At 36.1% G+C, this 25,959-nt stretch overlaps 1 long non-coding RNA gene across 3 annotated transcripts in view; it reads right to left on the bottom strand.

The window, feature by feature from the left end:
- The window catches only part of LOC107986638 (uncharacterized), a 131,875-nt gene that overhangs the window by 19,757 nt on the left and 86,159 nt on the right, over positions 1-25,959 (bottom strand). For 2 of the 3 annotated variants that reach the window (XR_001744315.2, XR_007059717.1), the window contains exons 1-2: positions 16,377-16,532; positions 5,412-5,476 (exon numbers count right to left, since the gene is read on the bottom strand). This is a non-coding gene — a long non-coding RNA (uncharacterized LOC107986638). Of the gene's footprint in view, positions 1-5,411; positions 5,477-16,376; positions 16,533-25,959 lie in introns of those variants that run through there. The other variant, XR_002956366.2, reaches the window with a different exon arrangement.

The raw sequence follows: 25,959 nt of genomic DNA, 5'->3' as shown, positions 1-25,959 counted from the left end.
TCTCTCTCTCTCTTAAGTGTCCTCAGGTTCCCTCAAAAAGAATTTCAAGTATGTCACAGTTGATTTTTTAAAGTCAGATGGTATCCCACATATCTTTCATATTTAGTGAAAAATATCCATCCTCATTTTCAGCTTCTCTGGAGGGTGGCTACCTCTTTCTTTGACATAGTCTTCAGAGCCCTCCTAGTGAATCTTGTAGATGATACCTACACAGCTTACATTTTTACATCAGGCCATTCCAAACTTACAATACAAATTTGGTGACAATCCACATATCCTTTTTCACATGACACATTAGTAAACCAGCAGACAGGTTTCACTTTTATATAGATTTGAAAGATTAGGTAAGTGGAGGTAATGTCTCCCACACACACAGAATATTTAAATATGATTACTTCTAACTCAAGCTGTCAGTTTATTCTTAAAACTCAAAAAGAATCAGGAGATTAATACTGTAGCTTGTCATGTTCTTTGATTTCCTTTGAAATCATGATGGATTCTTCTCCTTTGACAACCTTCATAATGGATCTAGGAATGCATGGGGAAAAATTGCTGGCATTTAAAAAATCTATACACTAACTCTTACAAATACAGTTTTCAAATATGCAATACTCGTATCTGCCACAACACCATTTAACATTAATAAAATTTAAAACACTAGAAAAAAACTTCCTTTTTTTTTCAACAGCCCAACTTAATAGTCACATACATACACACAGATTAATTATTCATGTAAGTTGGCATTGTTGAGAGAACAATAATGGTGATCATGCTAAAGAGGGAATCTGGGGTTTTCATATAATTTCCATTTAGGTCATGTTTCAATTTCATATATAACCTAACCTACTCCTAACTCCTCTTTATGATTATGAAAAAGACTTCCTTCTACATTGGACTCATTCTACAAATGTAGAAGACAACCTTCTACATTTCCATAATAAATAATGTTCCTGCGTTTAGGCTTCTTTGATGTATTTACTCTGAGGATAATCTAACGCTGAAAATCATATCAACAGGTCAGATTACATTTGATAATGGAGGAGGTGGGACTTGTACAGGATCCTTACGGCCCAGGCCTTTGCCCAGCTCTTAGACAGGAGAACAGTGCACATGAGTCCAGACTCCAGTATCCAGTGCTTAGGTACCACCTTTTCTTAGAGCTCTACAGGCAGTACTGTGGAGGCCTGAGAGCTTGAGAGGTCTGACGAGACAAAAGTGAGTATCCTGAGAGCAGGTCTTATAGAGAGCCATTACAAAGTAAACAGAAACCACCAGCTGCAGTCTCAGTGACCACTGCCACAGAGCTCCATCTTGACCTGAGGATTCTAGTGCCAGTCAGCTCTCCTACAGTAATTCTGTGTTCCTTACTGACGATCTTCAGTAAACTTGCTTTGCCACTGCCCTGCTTCCTGGATCCCTGGGACTCATCTATCCTGAGTGGCATATAAGTGCCAAGCCTGTGTCATTTAAACCTTCCTGACCTAGATTGACACTGTTGTGACTGTAACTCTGACCCAATGCCACCACCAGCTGATGCCAAAACATCTTTTTCCTGCTTGCTCATCTCGATGCAAACAACTGTGGATTAATCCAAGCACAGGTGTGCAGCCTGCATAGTACAAAGCAGGGGTTCTGCTTGAGCTTCTCAAGCATTATCTCAACTACTCCTCACAAGCTCACTAGGAAGCGGGCACTGAGCGTCCTTACCCTACACATGAAGAAACTGAACTCGAGGATTAGGTAACTTCCCAAGTCATAGAGCTGGTGGAAGGAAGTCATAGAGCAGGGAGAGAACCTGGCTTTGTGCTAAGCTGAGTATAGACTGTGAGTACTTAATCACTTCACTAGAGCACTTCTCACTGGAAAGAGAAGGTGGGCTCCAACTCAGAAGCAAAGCCAGGCCGAAGTAAAGCTTGTGCTATCAATAAAAATAATCTATTAAAACAAGAAAATTTCTGCATACTACTTCAAAATAATAGTCAATCTCACACTTCTGGGTCTTTCCGTGACCCTGCACGTCTCAGTCAGTATTCCAAATTCACTCCCACTAGTCTGCATATTTTGTTTTATTCTGCAGGTGCCTAGTTTCTGGAGTCAAAAAGCCCACTTCACTTCAGTGCACACAGATCCATGCCTTCATCTTGAGCTACAGAGTAATCAAGAAAGGAATGTCCAGCCTAGCCACCCACAGATGGGTGGCAGAGGCTTGGAAAAATAATAAATCTACCCTAGCATGTTTCATCTTTTTCTAGGCTATGGCCACAGCCTCCTGTCTGAATCTGTGCATGCATTCTGCCTTTCCGCAGTTTGTTCTCCACAATGCAGTCAAGGTATTCTTTTCAAAATGCAAATCTGATCCTGTTTCTTGTCCTAGAACAGTGTTCCCTTCCTCTCATTTCCTGATTAATTCACCCCTATCCTTCAGATTTCAGGAACTCAACCATCACCTCCTTGGGAAACCTACTCTGGTCTTCCTGACATGGTTAGATAATTATATTATATGCCTTTATAGTATCATGAACCTCGTCTTCAGAGGTTTTGATACATTTACAACAGGTAAGCAATCATTTTACAGCATTTGCTTTTGTTTTTCATCATCTCTGTAGCTCTCACTACAGTGCACAGCACAGTGTAGAGGCTCATAAGTATTTGCTGAATGGTAAGTGATCTGGAGAAGTGAATGATATTGGCAATTTGCATTCACACCTGGGCACGATTGAAATTGACCCAAGTGACTGGCACACTTACAAACTGACTAAAGTAAAAGGTCAGTAAAACCTTTACAAAGAATGACCTTTCTACAATATTATAAAAACCATAGTTCATACACAGCCCTGGAAAAACTTTTGTGAGATAAATTATGATAAAAAATGTTGTATGTCTCATGGTTATGATATATTGATATCATGGCCCCTGTTTTAACTTTTAAAAAAATCAAACTAACTAGCTAGTTATACTATGCTTAGGGAAACTATTCCTTCTTGATTATAAGCTGCTGTGTTACTTTTCTCTTCCAAGGAAATACGAACAGTTATCCTGCCTCAAAGGCATATAACTAAAATATCATATGGAGGAATAACCTGGCTATTCGATTACTTAATTTCCAAGTAGCGATGTATTACCAAACACCATTCTTTTGTTCAGTTTTTGTATTACAGAGTGACATCCTAGCATCAAATCATGGTGCTAGTGTGTATGCTACAGTCAAGACACACATTTGAGTGATTCTTTTGTTTTTATCCTTTTTTCCCCTTTAACATGGTGATAATCAGAACAAATTGATTTTGTTTCTCAGATTGCTGAAATCCTCCCAACACTTTCTTCAACACCAAGGCTGAATAAATCATTGTAATGTTCCCCTGAAGTGAATTGAAAATTAATTTACACAACCAAGATGATCCTTCTAATAACAGGGTACATGGAATGGGGAAATTGGAAATCATTACCCAGCAAACATTATCTGCATTATTTTTGTAGCTGCTTTAGATTGCATTGTAATAGAAAATTAGGAGACCGGCTGTGAAGAAGTTTAAGAGGGTCCCCTGAAGAGCTTCTGCTTTAAAATTGATTCTTTAAGAAAGCATTAAAAAGCTATTGGAATTGATTGCCTGCTAATATAAAGGAAAAACTCTTTGCCACCATTTGAGTTAAAAAAGAGCATCTTCATTCATGCATGTTATTAAAACTACTGGCCTGAAAGCCCCTGTAGAAAGATAAAGGATATAGATGGGATATTAAAACGGCAATCTTTACCTTATCTGGGATTTAGACTTAATATGTTGCTTTTATTAATTTAGCAAGAACCATTAGTTAGGATGTCAAAGAGTGACTATACAATTAAAATGCTATAGAATGGTGAGATCTTTAATAAACAGTAGACCAGGAATTCCTCATTAATCTTCCAAGCATAAGCCACATCCTTACAAAAAATAAATCCTGAATTTACAGCTTTTGCTTTATTGCTAAGTTTCCTGTGCAGCAGCGGTAGAAGTCATAGCTGATAACACCTCTGATTAGCTTTTGAAGCTTCCCCTGAAATAAGGTAATGACCAATCGGATCCCAGCAGTTGGCCAGATAGAAAATGACAATTACTATCTTTAAAATATGTCTATGGAGCTTTGAAAGGTTTCCATGTACCTGGTACAGTAGGCTATTTTTTAAGCAATGATATTATAGACAGATTTACAAACACATAAGCAAACACAGTAGGATGTCTTGACACTAAATTGTTTTCTTTTTATAGCCTTTTTATTTTTACCACATTCAGTGGGAAATTGCCTTGTCTTTTTAAATACATGATAAGTAGGATTACTTAGCAGAATAATGAGTAAAAAATGCCTTTTCAAATACAATAGATTATCTTTTTCTTTAAGAGTTATCTCAGACTTAAACAGCACCCTTGCCCCAATCCCTCCCTTTGTCTCTCTCCCTCTGTTTAAATGGATTGCAAATAATTTCTACACAGATGAACTATATCAACAAAGTTCTGATAGACAAATAGTAGATCACTGTAGGAGGTAAGCTAAAAGTGCATTCCTAGATGAAAAATTATACCCACTATCACATTGGAGCATTGTTTTCAGTGGTATCAGGTCCTTGGTGAGGTAATAGAAAACAGCCTCATAATGAGGCCCTTTGGGTAGCTCAATTATGCACCCCCTGGAGATCATTGAAATGGCCACCCACAATATACTAGACTAATAACACATTTCTCATGTATCCCTTGAAATATTAACATGAAACCTAAAAAAGTGTTCTGAACTTAACATCAGAACAATTCTATATTAAACTATATTCATCAAAATAGATTTTAAATAAGCTTTTCTATATCTGTTTTATTAGTATTTTATTTTCAGTTGATTAATAGAGTCATAATTTCTATATGTTCTGGTTTGCCTGGGACAGTCCCATTTGAGGCCTGTTGCCTAGAGTAACTATTAATAGCAATCCCCTTCACTCCAAAACTGTCCTGATTTGAGGGTAAACTACATAGCCACCCTACTTATAAGTGATTTCTGATATATTTAACTTTTAGGTCATTTGTAACAGAACTCAGAGCCATTTGTTATCAAAATAGTCAAGCTTAAAGCTAAAATAGCTAAGTTTTTATGTTTTCAAAATGAATTTCAATTTTTCTACCACCCATAAAACTTCTTAAAAGCCAGGACAACAGTTAATCCAAAAGGCACTGTTACAAATATTTAATGTTTGTTAGTGTTGGTTATAAAGATAATTATAATGATCATATTGTTAAAATGTTAATAAGAAATAAAAAACATTAATAAAAATAACAAAAATTATTATCTTTATTACTAATTTGTAACACTTTTAGATTACAAAAATCATATATAATCCTGTTAAAAAAATTTTAATGACTAAAATAGTAAGTGAAAGTTCTTCATAAACTTACCTCACAAAGCCAACCATTCTGAACAGATCTTTGTCTACAGATGCAAACAGAGGTGTTTTTTTTTTCTGAAAATAGAATCACAATATTTTTAAACTGGTATTTTCACTCTGTTGCAGAAACCAGAAAGAAAAGAAATATCTTAAATAACGAACATAATTATAACTCTTTATTATGTCCCTCAATTCTGTTGATAAAAAGTGAAGAACAAAAATAGTATTTGTTGACAGGGAGTAAAAGAAACCTGTAGAGCATATGGCAAGCCCAGCAGTATGTATCTCTGTCTGCCATCAGCCTCTTTCATGTTTAAGTTTCTGGGCTTCTGTAGCTTCTTCTAACTTAAATTTTTTACTAACATTCCTAGTGCTAAACACCATGATAAAATTAAAACTAAAAGAGACAAAAAAGGAATACAATTAACATGAATGTTTTAATTAAAAATAAACTTCCAAAATCAACAATCTGGATTCCTGTTTAAATTAAAAGTATGTTCATTACATGAATATTATGGGCCAATGCATATTATAAGGATTTAATAGAGATTTGTTAATGCTTGTGATAAAGATAACAATGTTTATGATAAAGTATAAACAAGCACAACAAACATGTCCTTCAATAGGTAAATGGATAAACTGTGATACCTCCAGACTCAGTGCTAAAAAGAAATGAGCCAACAAGCAACGAAAAGACATGGAGGAAACCTAAACCCATACTGCTAAGTGAAAAAAGCTAATCTGAAAAAGCTACATACTATATGATTTGAATTACATGATATTCTGGAAAAGGCAAAACTATGGAGACAGCAAAAACATCATTGGTTGCCAGGGGTTAGTGGGAAGACAGGATGAATAGGCAGAGGATAGTGGATTTATAGGGCAGTGAAAATACTCTGTATGATAATATAATGATGGATACATTTAATTATACTTTTGACCAAACCCATAGATAAAATTTTCAAAATCAAGAGTGGGCCCTAATGTAAACTATAGTCTCTGGGTGTCATGTATCAATGAAGATTTGATATGGTTTGGCTCTGTGTCCCCACTCAAATCTCCTGTCAAATTGTAATCCCCACATGGCAGGGGCAGAACCTGGTGGGAAGTGTTTGGATCATGGAGGTGGATTTCCCCCATGCTGTTCTCATGATAGTGAGTGAATTTTCATGAGATCTGATAGTTTAAAAGTGCGGCACTTCCCGCCTCACTCTCTCACTCCTGCCACCTTGTGAAGAGGGTGCTTGCTTCCCCTTCGTCTTCTGCCATGATTGTAAGTTTTCTGAGGCCTCTTTGGCCATGTGGAACTGTGAGTCAATTAAACCTCTTTTCTTTATAAATTACCCAGTCTCAGGTAGTTCTTTACAGCAGTGTGAAAATGGCTAATGCAAGCTTCATCAATTGTAATAGATGTATTACACTGGTAAGGAATGTTGATAATGGGGGAGGATATGCTTGTGTGGAGACAAGGATATATGGGAAGTCTCTTTCCACTCCCCTCAATTTTGCTATGCACCTAAAACTGCTCTATCTTAAAACATGAAAACAAAAGAAATTAACAAAAACAATAAAATTAATATGATATTTTAAAATATTATTTTATTATAGATTTGTAACTTTTCAGATTACAGAAGCCATGTACAATATAAAAAAAGCTATATGAAATTTTTCCTTGTGTGAGCTTTGGAATTTTCTTCTTTCATAAAAGTTCTCACTACTTAAAAATTAGAATTTTCTATATTCTAACTAAACTCTTACACAAATAATAACGTGAAACACCACATGTATTGGTTATAAAAATAACTTTAACATTAAATTAGACAATAAAATGTTTTCCACATTCGCTGATAATAGAGATAGAATTAAAATGGAAAAGCAAACATTTTTAAAAAGCTTTTCCCCCTGAGAAATTATATTTTGTTAGTTATTTTTCAAGACTCAGTGTCTCTCACTTTTGAAAGAAGTACAAAGCTAGAAACTTACCTATGATTCTAATGGATAGGAATGTCATTAAACAAAAGACATATTCGTCAATCAAAAATTAGTTGAAAATGACTCTAAAACCATCTCCACATGTCAAAAATCAGAGAGAAAGAAAAAAAATGGAAGTGAGTTCATCTGTATATCATATATCTGACTGAGAGATATAGTCCTCCAAATGGGTAAGAAATTGGTTGGAAAAGAGTGTTCAAAACCTCAAATTGGTAGAGATTATGTTCTCTTTTCTCATTCATTTCTTAACAAGTGCAAGTTGCTACTTCTCTACACACATACACAAAAGGAAAGCCCAACAACAGCTTATTGGAAAACCGAGAAAATGTGTATCTCTTACATAGGCCTACATTAGTAGAAAGAACTTAGGAAATGTAAAGAACAGAAAGTTAGTTTTACCTTTGTAGTTTCAAAGGAGTTATAAAAGACTAAATAGCTTTATTTGCATACGTTTCTGCACTCCTCAATCTTTACAAAGTAGATGAAAGTCCACTGAAAAGGTAAATACTCTCACCTTTATTACCTGTTAAATTGGTTTCAAATAAACAGTGGGCATAACAGCTAAATTGCATGTCTCTTGGGAATGAGAGTATAGAAAGACACACACATACACACATACACACACACATGAGAAGAAAGCCAAAGCTGATAGAATATCAAGTCATTCCTTTTTATACTGAAAACTCCAGGTCAGTGTCAAGCTTTGTTAGAGATGCTTAAAATAAAAAATGCAGAAGTTCAAAATCTCACATGTATCATCATTTTAAGAAGCATTTCTCCCACTTTTCCTCCCTTAATTAACATGTTAAAGGAAACTGAACAAATGGAAGCGCTATCAATTGAAGGACATTCTTTTTAATAGACCAGACATCATACTTCGACTACCTTCACCAGATCTGGAAATTGCCTGTTGCCATGTCACTGAGGGCAACTATAGAAAAAGAGCCCCTATCCTGAATTGCAGCTCAGCCATGCTCATCATTCTCCCTGTTGTTGTGGCAGCTGTCAGGAAAAATTATTTGAACAGCAGCATCTTGAACAGATGGCTTAGAGACAAGTTAGAAATGGAAACACCTATGAGAAGAAAATTGCAAAAGTCAAGCCTAGACTTCAAAGCACAGGGAATGGACTGCTCACCAGCCCTGTTCTCTAGCTATGGGATGGAAAGGTATATTTTTCCTACACATGTTAAACACACTTCTTTTACCCCTTTGGTCCATGCCAGACTCTTGCTGGCTGCCTTACATGGCTACCCCAACTCCGTAAGTGTTGAGGGACAATGCAACTCCATTCTTTCTTTCTCAGCAGTCAGTTCTTCTGGGAGAATCAATCCAAGGTAGTAGCAGACGGGAGACACATTGTCTACCAGTTTCCTTCTCTTATTCCTCATTTCTTTCTCTGTGACCAGGGCCTGCTTTCCTTCCCAGCCTTTAGCTGTATGTCCTGTTTTGTCCTTATCATTCAATATGGCTGTGGTAGACAGGAGAATGTGCCTTGCAGTACTGCAACTGAGAGGAGCATAATTGACCAAGGGACCCATTGCTGTATTCTGAATCCAGCACTGAGTTGGCTGAGGCCATGCTTCCCATGTGCTGCTCCCAGGCAGTGATTGAGCGCAGCAGGGATACTGAGGCAGCTACATTTTTGAGAGACTCAAACTCCTCTGCCATGTGACTTTGGCTCAGGGACTACACATAGGCTTTGCCAAAAGTTTCTTAAAACTACTCTGATCCCTTTGACTTTTCCTGCTCAATCTTCCTCCCTTCCCTCTCTACTTTACAGGGGTCAGGCCTGCATCATGATGTGAGAGCTCTCCTACCTTCCCCAATTTTCCCTCTAATACATCCTTTTGTGTCTGCTTATTGAAGAATGCAAACCAACACAGTGGCTCTGCCCCTTTACATCTCCTAATCTGTATATATCCTCTGAAGATCTGCTGAGTAATAAGCTGGCAAAAGGGGCCTGGTATGTAGATTTGAGGAAGTCCACGGTCAGTCAAAAGCCCACACTGTCAGTGCCAGTCCACATGATCAGTGATAAGGAGCAGAGAATAAAAGGATAAAATTCAGTCGGAACTCTAATGGAGATGCTAATCATCAGATCCTAGGAGAGAGAAGGCATGCATAAAGCTATCTGAAGGTATTGGAGAAAAAAACATGTTAGTGGTAAAATTAACAAGATGTGCAGAAAGTACACCCGGGGCAAAATTCCTTGTTCCCATTCAGAGGCATTCTTTTGAATCAACTGTCTGGAACAGCACAGGGGACATACACTGAGCTGCTCATCAAGAATGGAACAGGAACTGCAAAAAAAAAGTGTGGGAGGGCGGGTGGTTGATAAAATTCTAAAGAAAAAGCTCAACTTGAAAAAGGAGTCATTCAACTTTTCCTGAAAACGGCCAGATAAAATGTAAAAATCATTCTTAGAGTAGGAACTAAGCAGGAGGAGAATTAAATTCAAAAACAGGAAAAAAATTTAAATTTGTTCTATAGGCCATGGGCTGCAACACCTGGCCTTGAACAGTGAAGAGAATTCTACCTAAGAGCCAATTCAGTAAACATAAAAATGTCACATTTGTATTGTATTCAAAATGAAAATAATTTGATATCATTCTAGAAGGGGAGTGTATATTTAAATTTACTGCTTCATTTAAATTATCAGCTTAATTGAATAAGAATATTACTAAGAGAATCTGCATTTTTTTAAACTCACCAAAATGTTAATTATCTTAGTATATTTAAAAAGTAGCAATAAGAGGGCAGCTTTTACATATTTTTAGGTTGAAATTCCATTCAGAGCTACATCTTGCAACTAAGTGGTTTCTTGTGTCCAAAGGAGACAGATTTCCACTCCCTGTTTGGGAACCACTCAAGCAGATTACACAGGCATCAAGACTAGCTGGCTCTGTCATTTCATTTTATTTGCAAGGGAAGAGTCCACCCTTTATCTTTTTTTTTTTGAGACGGAGTTTCACTCTTGTTGCCCAGGCTGGAGTGCAATGGCACAATCTCGGCTCACGGTAACCTCCACCTCCCAGATTCAAGCGATTCTCCTGCTTCAGCCTCCTGAGTAGCTGGGATTACAGGCGCCCACGACCACACCTGACGAATTTTGGTCAGGCTGGTCTCGAACTCCCGACCTCAGGTGATCTGCCTGGTGCTGGGATTACAGGCGTGAGCCACCATGCCCGGCCCCTTCATCTTTTTTAATACTTTAGTTCCCAGTACCTGAAATCTGATGCAAACCATATTTGTTTATCAGTAGTAACATTGCTGATATAGTTATTCATTAGGCATTTTTCTCTATATGTTTAACCTTGGCACACAACCTTCCTTATATAATTTAACACTATGAGGTTGGCAAGTAATGGGTGGTGAAACCGAGACTCTTGGTCAAGTGACATGACTTGACCAAGGTCACAGAATGAATCTGTCTGTAGCAAAATTTGTTTGGCTTTGCCAACACTGTACTCTTTCCCTTTCTTCCGGTAGTAGAACTATTTTCCTACTGTCTACTCTACCCTGTGCAGGATTCTGGTAGATATGTCATTTATGTGGATGGCCCTGTGTTTTATTTGCTGACTTAAGCCCACCACCAGAATGGATAATCACGGTAGATTCAGTGATTGATCTAGGAGGAAACTGTGATTCTTGCAGGAACAGAGGTCAGGCAACAGATGTGGATGCTGGGAGAGAATAATCTTTCTGCTTTTATGATAGTGAGTGCTACATGTTGCCCATATTTAGGGTGCCAAAGGCCTTCTTTGTCACAACACAAACATAGCCTGCTGGTGAATAAAGCCAATATTGAGAAAGGCAGAGCAGAGAAATGGAAAGAGAGCGAATCCCATGACATCCTCTAAAACCACCTGTAGCTGAAGCTCGTGCAAAATCCTTGGAATTGCCAGTAGCAAAAGCTAATAAATACCCCTTTTGTTTAAACTAGAGTTGGGTTTCTATTAATGCAAGAGAACAAGTCCTGTCTAATACAGTATTAGAGCCAGAGAGCCAGAATTGGACTCAATTCCCCTGATTATGTAACCACATTAATTGAAAGTATAATTTTTCATCAAAACAAATTAGAGTTGGGGGCCCTATCCTTGTTAATAGTGTAATCAATACAAAATGTAGGAATTACACCTAAGTGTCCTATGCATTATAGCTCCATCATGGTAATTAGCATTTCTTATTATAATTACCTTTTTATGTGTTTCTTCATGAATCTCTTGATGACAGGGATTGTATCTTATTCATCTTTGAAATCCTTCTGCTAAGCACAGTCCTTAGGACTTAGTATGTGCTCAATAAATATCTTCTGAATAGGGAAATATTTATAGCAATTTACCAATACATGAATTCCACTTCTTATTTCAAATTAACTTGGAAATATCTTGTCTAAGATAAGTACATATCCCAATCTTCAAGGACAGTCTTCAATCTTATCTTTGTTTAAAATGTCTGATCTTATCCAAGAGGTTTCCCAATCACTCCATCTAATACAGTATTCTTGTCACTTTTGTCCTCTCCTTAGTTTTCTTAATAATATTTACCGAAATTTTTATAGTTTATTCTTTGCCTTGTTTCACTAGAATGTAAGCATCTTAGAGCAATCTGTGGCATAGAGAGGGCTCTCAAAAACAATTGAATATTTATAAGTAAACAAAGTAACTGGTGGTACATTCGATTCTGCATTTGTGATACCTTCCAACACATTTTAGATATTCATTTTATATTTTATAATGAAAAGCATAACAGTTAAATCTAATATATGTACATTCTAATATAATGAATATATGTTTTAAAAAATAAGAAATGCTGTCCTCAGTAAAATATCTCACCAATGTATGAACACTGAATCCAAAAATCTTCTACTAAATCTATACTGGTAATCTTATTGATTAACATAGTATTGCCTTAAGACAATCTGCTAACAGCCATCTGTTTGCTCGTGTTGTTATAGTAATGCTATCTTAGCCTAGATTAACTGTATAAACATATTGAGGTTTTAGTGAAATCTAGGTGTATATCATGGTTGATCCATACAAAGTAGTCAAATGTTATTTTAAAATATTTTATTTGACTTTGACTTTTTGTATAGCCTAATACAATTATCTATAGTCATCAACTTTTAAATATATACATGTATAAACATAAAGCAATTATAATTTAGTAGTAAAATTATATTTTATAAAACTATAAGTTAAAAATATATTTAAGTGGAAAAATAGCAGATAAAAATCTCTCATGATAAAAAGTGATGATGGGAAGGATGGCATCATGGTGGATTAACTAGAGAAAGTATTTTATTTTTACTTCTTGTTTCATTAACCTCTCTATTAAACTGATGGCTTCAGAAACTGTGACAATCATCTTTGCTCCCTCTCTCTTGGTTTATGTGCCAAAGCTTAGCTCTTCTTGGTGATCTTTGGGGCTATGAAAAATGACATGCTAGTTATTTTTCCTCAAATAACATTAACTTTTAAAAATATTGTATTGCAATTATAATACAAATCACTAGCCCTGTGTGATTGAAATGATAACAGTATATTGTCCTTTGTTGACTTCGAATACCCAGCTCCTTCTTGCTCTTTATTTCTCCAGTTACCAGAAAGAACAGCTGTGGTTCTACATGGGGTCCACCTGGCAGCTTGAAGCATCCAGATGTCAACTCCTACTTAAAAAAAGAAAAAGCAAGCACTCTTTTGCCATGGTAATGTTGCCTTCAGAGGCAACTGGTGTGGGAGTGGAGATTAAAGGAAAGAAAAATTAGAGGCGAAAGGGCCACGCTTCCATTTGATTCTCACCTGTAACAAATGCAGATGACATGCAGTGAAAAATACCAGTTCCCTGATCAATGAATTACTCTTTTCTATTTGACAGGTGTAAGTCAAGTCTCCGCTTACACTTTTCTGTGCAAATGGGTGACTTGACTATAGTTGTCATCTTATTATTTTTTAATGGAGTTTGGTTAAAGCTTTACTCCCTGTTGCAGAGAAGAGATAAGTACGTGACATTTACACCAAGAGCATGGAGCCATGACAAATACATAAAGTGAAACCCTGGGGGAGGGGAGATAGGCAAGGTTTTATGTGTATTTTATTAAAACTCAAGATCGCTTGCTTTGAAGTTTTAATAAAAAGTTAAGTATAACCTAAAAGTTTTAGACTGCAGATTGATCAAATGCTCTTCATATAAAGTTTATATATAATTGTTATTAAATACTTGAACACGATAAATAACTAGAGAAGACTTAGACTTATGTGTTTTATAAAGATCACACTAAAATATGATTCAAAAAAATTCAAAAATATTGGATTACCTAAAAGAAGTGTATCCATTTCTGATTACTTATTCTCACTTTCCCACGAAGGAAAATTTCCAAATAATATTCACTTTTGAATTGAGACCCAAAAGAGAAAAATAAGCCATCACAATTATTGCTGTGTTTGGAAAGACAAATTTCTTTTTTGAAGTTTTAGTTTCTTTGGAAAAAGATGGGCTGGGCACAGTGGCTCACACCTGTAATCCCAGCACTTTGGGAGGCCAAGGTGGTTGGATCACCTGAGGTCAGGAGTTCGAGAGCAGTCTGGCCAACATAGTGAAACCCCATCACTACTAAAAATACAAAAATTAGCCATGGTAGCACAAGCCTGTAATCCCAGCTACTCGGGAGGCTGAGATGAAGGGATTGCTTGAACCCAGGAGGTGGAGGTTACCTTGAGCCGAGATTGCACCACTGCATTCCAAACTGGGTGACAGAGCGAGACTCCATCGCAATAAAAATAATAATAATAAAATAGAAATTTTTTTTTTAAAAATCCTATCTTTGCAATTCTAATCATGAGTCATAACTCAACTAGACTCAGTCATTTTTACATGAATGAATTTACCCACTTGTATCAAAATTTTAAGTTCACTATTGTCACATTCTGGTACTCAATCTATGTTGATAGAAAGACATTAGAATTACAGTATTTTTCTTCATAAGGTTTCCTAGAAACATTTTGCAGCTCTTCTTCTTCCAGTATAACTATATTATATTCATATGACACTGTTTTTTTGACTGTATGTATGTCCCCAGATAATGCCTTTTCTTCTACTCTAGTTGAATAACTATAAAGAAACAATTCTATCTTCTTTTACTATTTCATACTTAAATCATAGCCCCAACTTGCCATTCACAATTTGCACTAGGACAGTCTTACAAATGCTATCATCTTAAAATAATCCTGTAGCCCAAAAATTACTATGTAAACCATCCTAACACTGAACTTAGGATAGATATTTAGTCTTTGCCCCCATTCTCAAATAAGTTTGTTTAGTTTACCATAAGATAGCTATCCCTCTTTATAATTACTGACTCCAACAATTCTTGTTTTTTATATATTAACATAGAGCCATCATAGTTCTTACTCTAGTTAAAATCTGCTGACTTAGCCAATATCTTCCATGTATCCTACAATTCTGAGAGCCACATCTCTCAAAAAGTTAAGAGACAACTGTAATCTACAAGATGGTCTTGTTAGGGATTCATAACGGCTTCCATTTTTAGACAAAGCATCAAGAAATGAAAGGCAAAGCAATGTTTGGGGAAACTCAGAAAAAGACCTTTTGAAATTAAAACCCCCCAAAGAAAAACATTTATTTAAACTCCTAAAATTGGTCATTGCAATTAGAATACTAGTTTTTTAATCAAAAAACAGCATTTTAAAAAGCAGATTACTATATAAAGAATGTTTAATAAAATAGTCAGAATAGGGGCCTATTTAATGTCCACTGGCAGTTGTAAATTCTCTCTTATCATCAATTTTAGAATAAGCTCAGGTTCTTATTCTAAGAACCTGAATAAGATGGATATAGTGTACCTGCCCCCTCACGGCACCTGAAATTCCCCCACCAGTCTTGGCAGTAATGACCACAACCCTCTTTCACAATGCCCTGGGGAAGAAATAAACCTTTGCTGATGCACAGCTTTCAAGCTCATCACATCCTCTCAATTTTCATGCTTCTGTCTAGTGAGTTACTTCCCTTTCTTTTGCTTGATATTGCTCAAACCGCTGTAGGACACCACTATTTTTAAAAAATTGCTTCATTCTGAACTCATTATCCCATTATTTTCTTCTTTCCAGTTCAATCTCTATAATGCAAAGAGTATTATTTGAGCAACTCCTTTTTACCCAGCACCATTACTTGGGGAAATACACATGCTCAAAAATATGACCCTTGTGGAAACTCTATTCAAATCGTAGGTTAAAAACCAAATAGGACACACAGAATAGAAGAAGCCACTGTATTTAATTGCTAAATGTTGTATTTCAAATATCAAAAGGTAGAGTTGTATTTTTTATACCCTTCAGATATGGTCTAGGCATAGATGTTTTTAGAAAGCTTTCGAGGTTATTCTAATATGTAGCCAGTAATGAGATCCACTGTGCTAGAAAGTCTCCACCCTGACTGACAAATAACTTTCAGTTCTGGTTTAGGAAATCAAGGTGAAGATACAGATGTGAATCCTTTGTTTCTCAAACTTTAGTGTGCACAAGAATTATCTGGACTTCTGTTAAACACACATGGCTGGCCGGGCACGGTGGCTTACACCTGTAATCCCAGCACTTTGAGAGGTGGGAGGATCACGAGGTCAGGAGATCGAGACCATCCTGGCTAACACAGTGAAACCCTGTCTCTACTAAAAATACAAAAAATTACCCAGGCGTGGTGACAGGTACGTGTAGTCCCAGCTACTCAGGAGGCTGAGGCAGGAGAATCACTTGAACCCGGGAGGTGGAGGTTGCAGTGAGCCGAGATCACACCACTGCACTCCAGCCTGGGCAACAGAGCGAGACTCTGTCTCAAATACATACATACATACATACATACATACATACATACATACATACACACACACACACACACACACACAGCTCTGGGGCTCAGACTCCAGAGAATCAGATTTCACAGGTCATATATAGAAACCCAGAACTTACATTTTCAACAAGAGGCTCTGGTGATCCTGATGCAGTGGTCTTCAGACCATGCTTTGAGGAAGGCCACTCAAAAGTCAATCACTATCCAGTCCCATGAACTAATATTTAAGAGATGATGATATTTTAGATCATAATAAAGTAACCCAGAATCAACACGTCAACATGAATATCTTGTAAGTGAATTATTTTATAAATTTATTTTCGTATCCTTTTAGTGTACAGTATTTGATTCATATTATTGCTGTTTTATCATCACTAGACAGACTTTCAGAGAAATTTGAAAATTATCCTCCTCTTGCCACCCTTGGACTTATTTAGAAGACTAAAACAGTTGAGATTCACTATTTTAGAAAATAAAAAGGAAATATGAAAAAATACAGAAAAAAAGGGAAAAGAGCTTTCTTTAGTTTGTACATGCATGTTTCTATATCTGTGTGTTTTTTTTTAAGAGGGAGAGGGGATGACAAAAGTTAAAGTTCTTATTTTAAAATTATTAAAGGATTTAACTAATGTTATATACACCCAAGAAAATTATGTGACTTGCTTATTTTAGCTCATTGTAATTAAGTTGTTTATTAAAATGACAAACTGAAAATATTTTTTAAAACATGTTTATTCCTCCAGAGAAAAAATGTCACATAAGCAAAAATAGGACAGAAACAGAAAAATGCACAAAATAGGCACTTTTTCTGCCAGTAAGTACTTGGAAATTAAATGTCAATGTAAATGCAGAACGTAACACATAAGAAAAACCTTGATATGCTTTATTTATTTATGTTTTGTGTTTTAGACAAAAATTTCCAGAACAATGTTAATAAAACTTTATATTTGTACTTTTAAATTCATTTAACATTAAAATTGAGAGCATGCATATTATTCCTTAGTTAGTTCTATTGTCTCCTTCTCTCATGTAGTTAAATCCATTCTTTCTCCTTGATTTAAGGCTTGAAATTCAGCTAGTTTAAACCATCTAAATCCTACCTTTCTGAGAACAGGCGCACCTGCAGAAGAGCAAAGTTCTCATTGACCTTGGGAACACAGCAGTTTCAATGAAATAATCTCATTTAGTAAAAAGAAAACCATATGCGAATCAACATTAACCGCTCTTAGCCCACATCAGGGATGATAGCTCCCTTGGCACCAGTCTGAATTTTGAGCTAAGGAATTTGGCCTGATCTTCCCTATGCTCAGCCAGGACAGATTGATAAAGAGGTACAACATTAGCTTAATCAGTTGCTCCATATTTCTGAATTTTTCTAAATATGTTCCTCATTAGTTTGCTTTCAATGGAAATATAGAGAATGCTTTCACACACATTTTTTCTTCTGAAATCAGTTCTCTGTGCATTAGAGCATTAAGCTTAGCAAATATGAGTTACGATACTACTAACACATTTATTGAGTGCCTACTTTGTGCCAGGAACTGGACTAGGAGTTATATATATATATATATATATAAAATATATACATAATATATAAAATATATATATAATATATATATTTATTTATATATATATTTATATATATATATATTTTTTGTTTCTGATATTCACAAAAATCCTTCTAAAATAACTATCATTATCCCCATTACACAGATGAAAAATCTAAGGGTCAGAGAGGCTAAGTGATTTGCCCAATGGCAGAGAATTACAGGGCCAGCAAAACACTTATAATACAATGTTTCATGTGCATTGATTTACATTTTTCTAGTCTATACTGTATTTTAAAAACAAATGTCTAACTTTTAAGAAGTGTTCACTATATTCTGGGCATTGTTCTGAGTGCTTTATATGTATTAATTCATTCAATATTTTGAATAACTCTTTGAGAGAAGTGTTTTGTTTCCATTCTACAGGTGACAAAACTGAGGCACAAAGAGCTCAAGCAACTTGTTTGTGGTCAAAAAACTGATAAATGAAGGAACCATGATTTAACCCAGCCATTGACTCCAGACCATGCTATACAAATACTAAGTAGGTTCCAATAGCCATTTTTTTTACACTTAGTTATTAAAATGTACCACTACATGCTGCTTGTACACCAGGATTTACTATAACAAGACAGAATGTCAATGTGAGTAATTCTAGTTGATAAAAAGGACTACTTCAATCCTCTACCTCCAAAAGATGGGCAGGGGTGATCGACCAGACATCAGAGGAATCATGCTATATAGGACAAATCCTGCGTCTTTTCCAGCAGTCAAGAAATTTCAGAGTAATAGTCACATCATCCTAAGTGAAGGTGTTTTTTGCAAACCCCTTAGCATATCTAAAGGGTACAACAAACAGTAAATAGGAAGAGGTGTAGATAAATAGCCTTGCAGTACTGAGAGAGGTGACACCTGACATGTAATTTCCATTAAGTTGCCTTTTCTGGCCTTTGACAAAATTCAACAACCCTTCATGCTAAAAACTCTCAACAAATTAGGTATTGATGGGACGTATCTCAAAATAATAAGAGCTATCTATGACAAATCCACAGCCAATATCATACTGAATGGGCAAAAACTGGAAGCATTCCCTTTGAAAACAGGCACAAGACAGGGATGCCCTCTCTCACCACTCCTATTCAACATAGTGTTGGAAGTTCTGGCCAGGGCAATTAGGCAGGAGAAGGAAATAAAGGGTATTCAATTAGGAAAAGAGGAAGTCAAATTGTCCCTGTTTGGAGATGACATGATTGTATATCTAGAAAACCCCACTGTCTCAGCCCAAAATCTCCTCAAGCTGATAAGCAACTTCAGCAAAGTCTCAGGATACAAAATCAATGTGCAAAAATCACAAGCATTCTTATACACCAATAACAGACAAACAGAGAGCCAAATCATGAGTGAACTCCCATTCACAATTGCTTCAAAGAGAATAAAATACCTAGGAATCCAACTTACAAGGGATGTGAAGGACCTCTTCAAGGAGAACTACAAACCACTGCTCAAGGAAATAAAAGAGGATACAAACAAATGGAAGAACATTCCATGCTCATGGGTAGGAAGAATCAATATTGTGAAAATGGCCATACTGCCCAAGGTAATTTATAGATTCAATGCCATCCCCATCAAGGTACCAATGACTTTCTTCACAGAATTGGCAAAAACTACTTTAAAGTTCATATGGAACCAAAAAAGAGCCCACATCGCCAAGTCAATCCTAAGCCAAAAGAACAAAGCTGGAGGCATCACGCTACCTGACTTCAAACTATACTACCAGGCTATAGTAACCAAAACAGCATGGTACTGGTACCAAAACAGAGATATAGACCAATGGAACAGAACAGAGCCCTCAGAAATAATGCCTCATATCTACAACTATCTGATCTTTGACAAACCTGACAAAAACAAGCAATGGGGAAAGGATTCCCTATTTAATAAATGGTGCTGGGAAAACTGGCTAGCCATATGTAGAAAGCTGAAACTGGGGCTGGGCATGGTGGCTCAACCCTGTAATTCCAGCACTTTGGGAGGCCGAGGTGGGCGGATCACAAGGTCAGGAGATCGAGACCATCCTGGCTAACACGGTGAAACCCCATCTCTACTAAAAATACAAAAAAAATTAGCCGGGCACGGTGGCAGACACCTGTAGTCCCAGCTATTCGGGAGACTGAGGCAGGAGAATGGTGTGAACCCGGTAGGCGGAGCTTGCAGTGAGCCGAGATCGCGCCACTGCACTCCAGCCTGGGCAACAGAGCAAGACTCCTTCTCAAAAAAAAAAAAAAAAAAAAAAAAGAAAGCTGAAACTGGATCCCTTCCTTATACCTTATACAAAAATTAATTCAACATGGATTAAAGACTTAAATGTTAGACCTAAAACCATAAAAACCCTAGAAGAAAACCTAGGCAATACCATTCAGGACATAGGCATGGGCAAGGACTTCATGTCTAAAACAGCAAAAGCAATGGCAACAAAAGCCAAAATTGACAAATGGGATCTAATTAAACTAAAGAGCTTCTGCACAGCAAAAGAAACTACCATCAGAGTGAACAGACAACCTACAGAATGGGAGAAAATTTGTGCAACCTACTCATCTGACAAAGGGCTAATATCCAGAATCTACAATGAACTCAAACAAATTTACAAGAAAAAAACAACCCCATCAAAAAGTGGGTGACTCAAAAGAAGACATTTATGCAGCCAAAAAAAACACATGAAAAAATGCTCATCATCACTGGCCATCAGAGAAATGCAAATCAAAACCATAATGAGATACCATCTCACACCAGTTAGAATGGCGATCATTAAAGTCAGGAAACAACAGGTGCTGGAGAGGATGTGGAGAAATAGGAACACTTTGACACTGTTGGTGGGACTGTAAACTAGTTCAACCATTGTGGAAGTCAGTGTGGTGATTCCTCAGGGATCTAGAACTAGAAATACCATTTGACCCAGCCATCCCATTACTGGGTATATACCCAAAGGATTATAAATCATGCTGCTATAAAGACACATGCACACATATGTTTATAGTGGCACTATTCACAATAGCAAAGACTTGGAACCAACCCAAATGTCCAACAACGATAGACTGGATTAAGAAAATGTGGCACATATATACCATGGAATACTAGGCAGCCATAAAAAATGATGAGTTCATGTCCTTTGTAGGGACATGGATGAAACTGGAAACCATCATTCTCAGCAAACTATCGCAAGGACAAAAAACCAAACACCGCATGTTCTCACTCATAGGTGGGAATTGAACAATGAGAACACATGGACACAGGAAGGGGAACATCACACACTGGGGACTGTTGTGGGGTGGGTGGAGTGGGGAGGGATAGCATTAGGAGATATACCTAATGCTAAATGACGAGTTAATGGGTGCAGCACACCAACATGGCAGATGTATACATATGTAACAAACCTGCACATTGTGCACATGTACCCTAAAACTTAAAGTATAATAATAATAAAATTTTTTAAAAAGTTGCCTTTTCTGAATGATAGCACCACAATTTTGATGCATAAATATAAATATAGTGTATCTGATAGGAAAGAAATGCATATAAGGTGGCATGGCACTTCATAAAAATAGGAGAACGCTAAGAGAATAGTAAAATTCTCTTAGAAATCTAAGGAAGAGAAGGGATAGTGTTTATAATATCTAGTAGTTTTTAGTGGGTTTGTCAAATTTGAAGGAAAGCAAAAAGGGTGATTATCAACTTGTCTTATGGGAACTGGCCATGATGTAACAGCTTGAGCTAAGAGATTTGTTCTGCAAAAGCCCTAAGACTTGTTAGCAAATAATAATTTCATTAAAAGACAGAAAAAAAAAAAAACATGTATCTGCAGAGAAAATAAAACTCTATCTTTTTTCACTTAATAAAATAGCAAATATCACCACTGAACTCAGACATATAAACTGCCAGGATTTTAAGTGTTGAGATACTCATAAAATATGGACTCTCTCTCAGTATTGGTGGTGTTTCTTCCCTCCACCCCTCCTTTCTTACTCCCCTGGGAGTCCAGCCCCAACAATTACAGGGTTGCTATCACGGCAGCTGTCCCTGTTGCATAGTGCTGATTTTCTACATGCAAAAAATTTGGACTCTAGAGAGCTATGACAATGTGAGTTAACAATATGCCTGAATCTAGTTTGGGAAGACATGAGTTCATTGTGTTATAAGAAAAAATACTGAATATAAGTTATTTTCTTAAGATTTTTAATTGTTGCCATTGTCATTCTGGTTTTAATTAACAACTAATACTCTGAAATGAATTATTTGAATAGAATTAATGAAGTGTACAAGTAACTTAAGGAAGTTTCAACCCCTGGCTTCTGACCTGTATATAATTTAATGAACAAACAGAAAAGAGAATGGAAAATGGTAAAATGAATGTATTATTTTCTTAACCTAAATAGACAATATTGTTTTAAAAATTGAATATCCTCTCTCAGGCTATAGAACCTATTAAGATGACTTTTCTTTTTCTAACAAACAAAAAAATGATCCTTTTTGGTCTCTTTCTTAGATTTGTCTGATCCATCTAAAAGCCAGTTTCTACATTTCTGAACTTGACTGCTCACTATGATTAAAAGAGGATTTCCACACAATCATTTAGAAATTTCAAAATGTATGGTGTTTGGGAAATATATATTCATTATGACTACATCCAAAGCTTGGTATCAGAAGCTAAATTATTTTTTCCTTGAAATATAAATACTGCAACTTAGGTGGCATGGCACTATTGAAAACAGCTTGCCATATGCCTTTGATTTCACTGAGAGACGTGCCATCTGCCACCACACTCAAAAATGATTCAAAAAAATTAAAAAGAATGGTAGAAGATTGTCATCAAATGTGAGAATGTTACCCATCATGTGTGGTCTAAGACTGGGCCTGGGTACTAGTTCAGATTACCTCTAGTCATGAAGTCAAAGCTGGACAGAAACAAATAAATTCTCATTTTTTCTGTGGGTAATGAACTGAGTACGGTGTAGTTCCCTCAGCATGATTATTGATACAGCTTTAGAAAGAAGTCTTTGATATGAAAGTAAAAAAAAACAAAGATCCTAGGGCAATGCTTATTTTAAAGGAGTTTTGGCCCAAGGACTGGGATTAAAACAGGGAGAACTTGCTTATGCACAGTTAATTTATTTGTAAAAATTCAATACCTTCATGGGACTTTGGAGAAAGAAGAAAATGGCAAGATATCAGAGACTTTTGGAGGGGATATATGTATATCAAAGAAATGTATAAATCTATTTAGGTACTATATTTTATCAAGTGCTAAATCAGCCAAGTGTGTATTTTAACTCTACATAATAAAATCACTGAGATAAATCCCTTCAGATGATTCCCAAAGAACAGAGGTAATTTTTCTAAGAAGCTTAAAAATAGAAATCTCTCTTAAATGCATCCAGACAGTGCCCCTTACAATCACTACTTTGTCCCAAAAGAAAAAGAGAGCAGAACAAAATGTAAATTTTATAGGAAAAATTTTACAAGTAACTATTAGTTTATTTGGTTTGTTTATTTGAAGAAGGAAAAGATTCAAAACCTACAGACCAAATTTTGGCTAAGAGAATACTATCTTAGTCTGTTTTTTTTTGTTGCTATGCCTGACTGAGGCTGGGCAGTTTATAAAGAAAAGAGGTTTGTTTAGCTTATGGTTCTGCAGGCTAGGAAGTTCAAAGACCATGACACTAGCATCTGCTCAGCTTTTGGTGACAGCATTTCGTGCTGTGTCAAGACATGGCAGAAGGTCAAAGGGGAAGCAGACACGTGTGAAGAGACAAATTCTGAGGGGTATCCTGACTTCATCACAACCCACTCTGGGAGGAACTAATCCAGTATTCCCATAGCAGAAACTCACTCATTACTATGAGAACTGAAGCAAGTCATTCAGGAGAGCTCTGCCCCCGTGACCCAAGTACTTCCCACTAGGCCTCACCTCCCAGCACTACCACATTGGGGATCAAATTTCAACACGAGTTTTGGTGAGGACAAATTAAACCATACCCACATAGGAAGTACCATATGAACAAAGCAGCTGGATTTCTTTATAAAAGAAAAAGAGAGAACATGTTATTAAACTGTAAAATTGGTTTTGAGAATGAAATGCAATCCTGTTTCAGAAATTTGTAGCCAGTATTACAGGGTAGTCTTGTGCCTGGCTTGTGAGGTTTATTTGAAATGTTTCATTCCAGATAATCAAGGGAAAAATAGTTTCCAAATAATAGCATTTCCAGGACTCTTCTAAAAAATAAAATTAAAGATACGCAGCTCCCCCAAAATATCTAATTATTACAAATAACTATATTATAACTGCTCTAGAAAGTTTATGCCACCATTTATTGAAAAGTATTTAATGTGCATCTAAAAAGGCATTATAGGAAAAGAAGTAAAGAAATAATAATAATACATGGCATTTGTATATCACTTTTTTATTTATTTGTATTATATTTATAAAATAAGTGTTCCTATTTTATAGATAAGAAAATTAAGGCTTATCAGGGTTCACCTATCTAATGTCAAATAGCTAATAAATGTTGAAATCAGAAGTGAACATAGTCTTATGACATCATATCAGAGTTCCTTATATTCCAGCACCATTCCTCTTAGCCTAAGACACAGTGGTTTCCACTTTCAGGGTCTGATATACAATTCCATACAGTTGCCCTCAATATTTTCCATCTTAAACGTGGAAGTACTCCAGAAGCAGTAACATTTTAGCTCTTCTCAACAATAGACCCCTCTGTATAGACTGAGGAATTAAGGGTTTAAAAGGGAAAGTGAGAAGTATATTTATGTCACAATTTGACACAATCTACTTGTATGACAAGTTATACATGCATGAAATAAATACTATAGTAAACAATATGTCCTTGCTAATAGTATCAAATATGAACATATGAGAGTGATAATTTGATCAGTACAATAGATCAGACATTATATAACAGGGTTCATGTAGAATAAATATCTCACAATTTGCCTATCCAGATCAAATTTGTATATATAGTGTACAAATGACTATATATGAAATATATATATACACAAATGACTATATATATATATAGTTGGCATAGCACAGTGGTATTAGGCAGAGAATTTTGAATTGTAAAATAAATAATCTCTGCAAATTATCTAATAACTTATTTGTGAAGAAGGTCTAATTTTGAAACTGTTTCGTTGCTGTAAAATCAACTTCAAATAAAAGAGACACCACAAAATAGGGTGTCTCCAAAGGAAATCTTCAAAGACAGGAGAGTGGGGTAATCAAAGAAAAGTTTAAAGTTTGCTGAATTTCTTGGGCAAAAAAGTTGAAGTCTTTGAATAATATTTCTCTGAGTCATATTGCATCTACCATTTCTAGAAATATGTACAGCTATTAATAGAGAAAAGCAAAAGGAGCATCAGAAGCTGAGAAAAGGCAAGAAGACAAAGCAGGAAAGAAAACAAATGTCTTTGCAGTGCAGCCCTCAGAGTTTAGTCAAAATATTCTAGGACCATGAGACTGGGATCCTGTCCAGTCGGGAGGAGAGAGCTAGATATGGATGAAGGGACTTAGACAGTCCAGTTAAGAACTCTGATCCATTCTTTGTCTACACTCTGAAATCTGCAGAGTCCTTCATTCACAGGGGAGTTTACCCTTCACTTTGTGGAGCTAAGTATGTTAATAAAACATTACCCAGAGCTGTTCCTACAAAAAGCACATATCAAATAAGAAGGTAGAATGAGATGATCTCCAAGGTCTCTTCCCACTTTAACATGAGAATTTGCTAAGTGAAAAGCCTAATTATATTTTCAATTTTTAAAAAACGGAAATTTTCATTTAAAAAAAATTCATACTTCAGGAGCTCTTTTATCAAGAGGTTGGGAGATTAGGTGGCTAATGTTATACAACCTATTTTCTATTAGGTTTGGGATGCAGTTTTTGTCCCTAGATAATGGAAGAAATTCTCTTAATTGATACTTGTTATTAATTCTTTTGTTTCCCCATTTTCTAGTTGCGCTTTTTTTCACTTGCCAGTTTAGGAATTTGCTTGGCTCTTTTCCTATATTTAATGACTATATTTAAAAAAAGGACTTGGCCATGTGCCTAGAGGCTCTTGGGTGTTGGGTGCCATATAAACAAAATTAATTACTA

This window comes from Homo sapiens, chromosome 6 (genome assembly GCF_000001405.40).
Source record: "Homo sapiens chromosome 6, GRCh38.p14 Primary Assembly".
Lineage (NCBI taxonomy): Eukaryota > Metazoa > Chordata > Mammalia > Primates > Hominidae > Homo > Homo sapiens.
The sequence above is the reverse complement of the archived record's forward strand: the minus strand, read 5'-3'. Positions and strand labels throughout refer to the sequence as shown.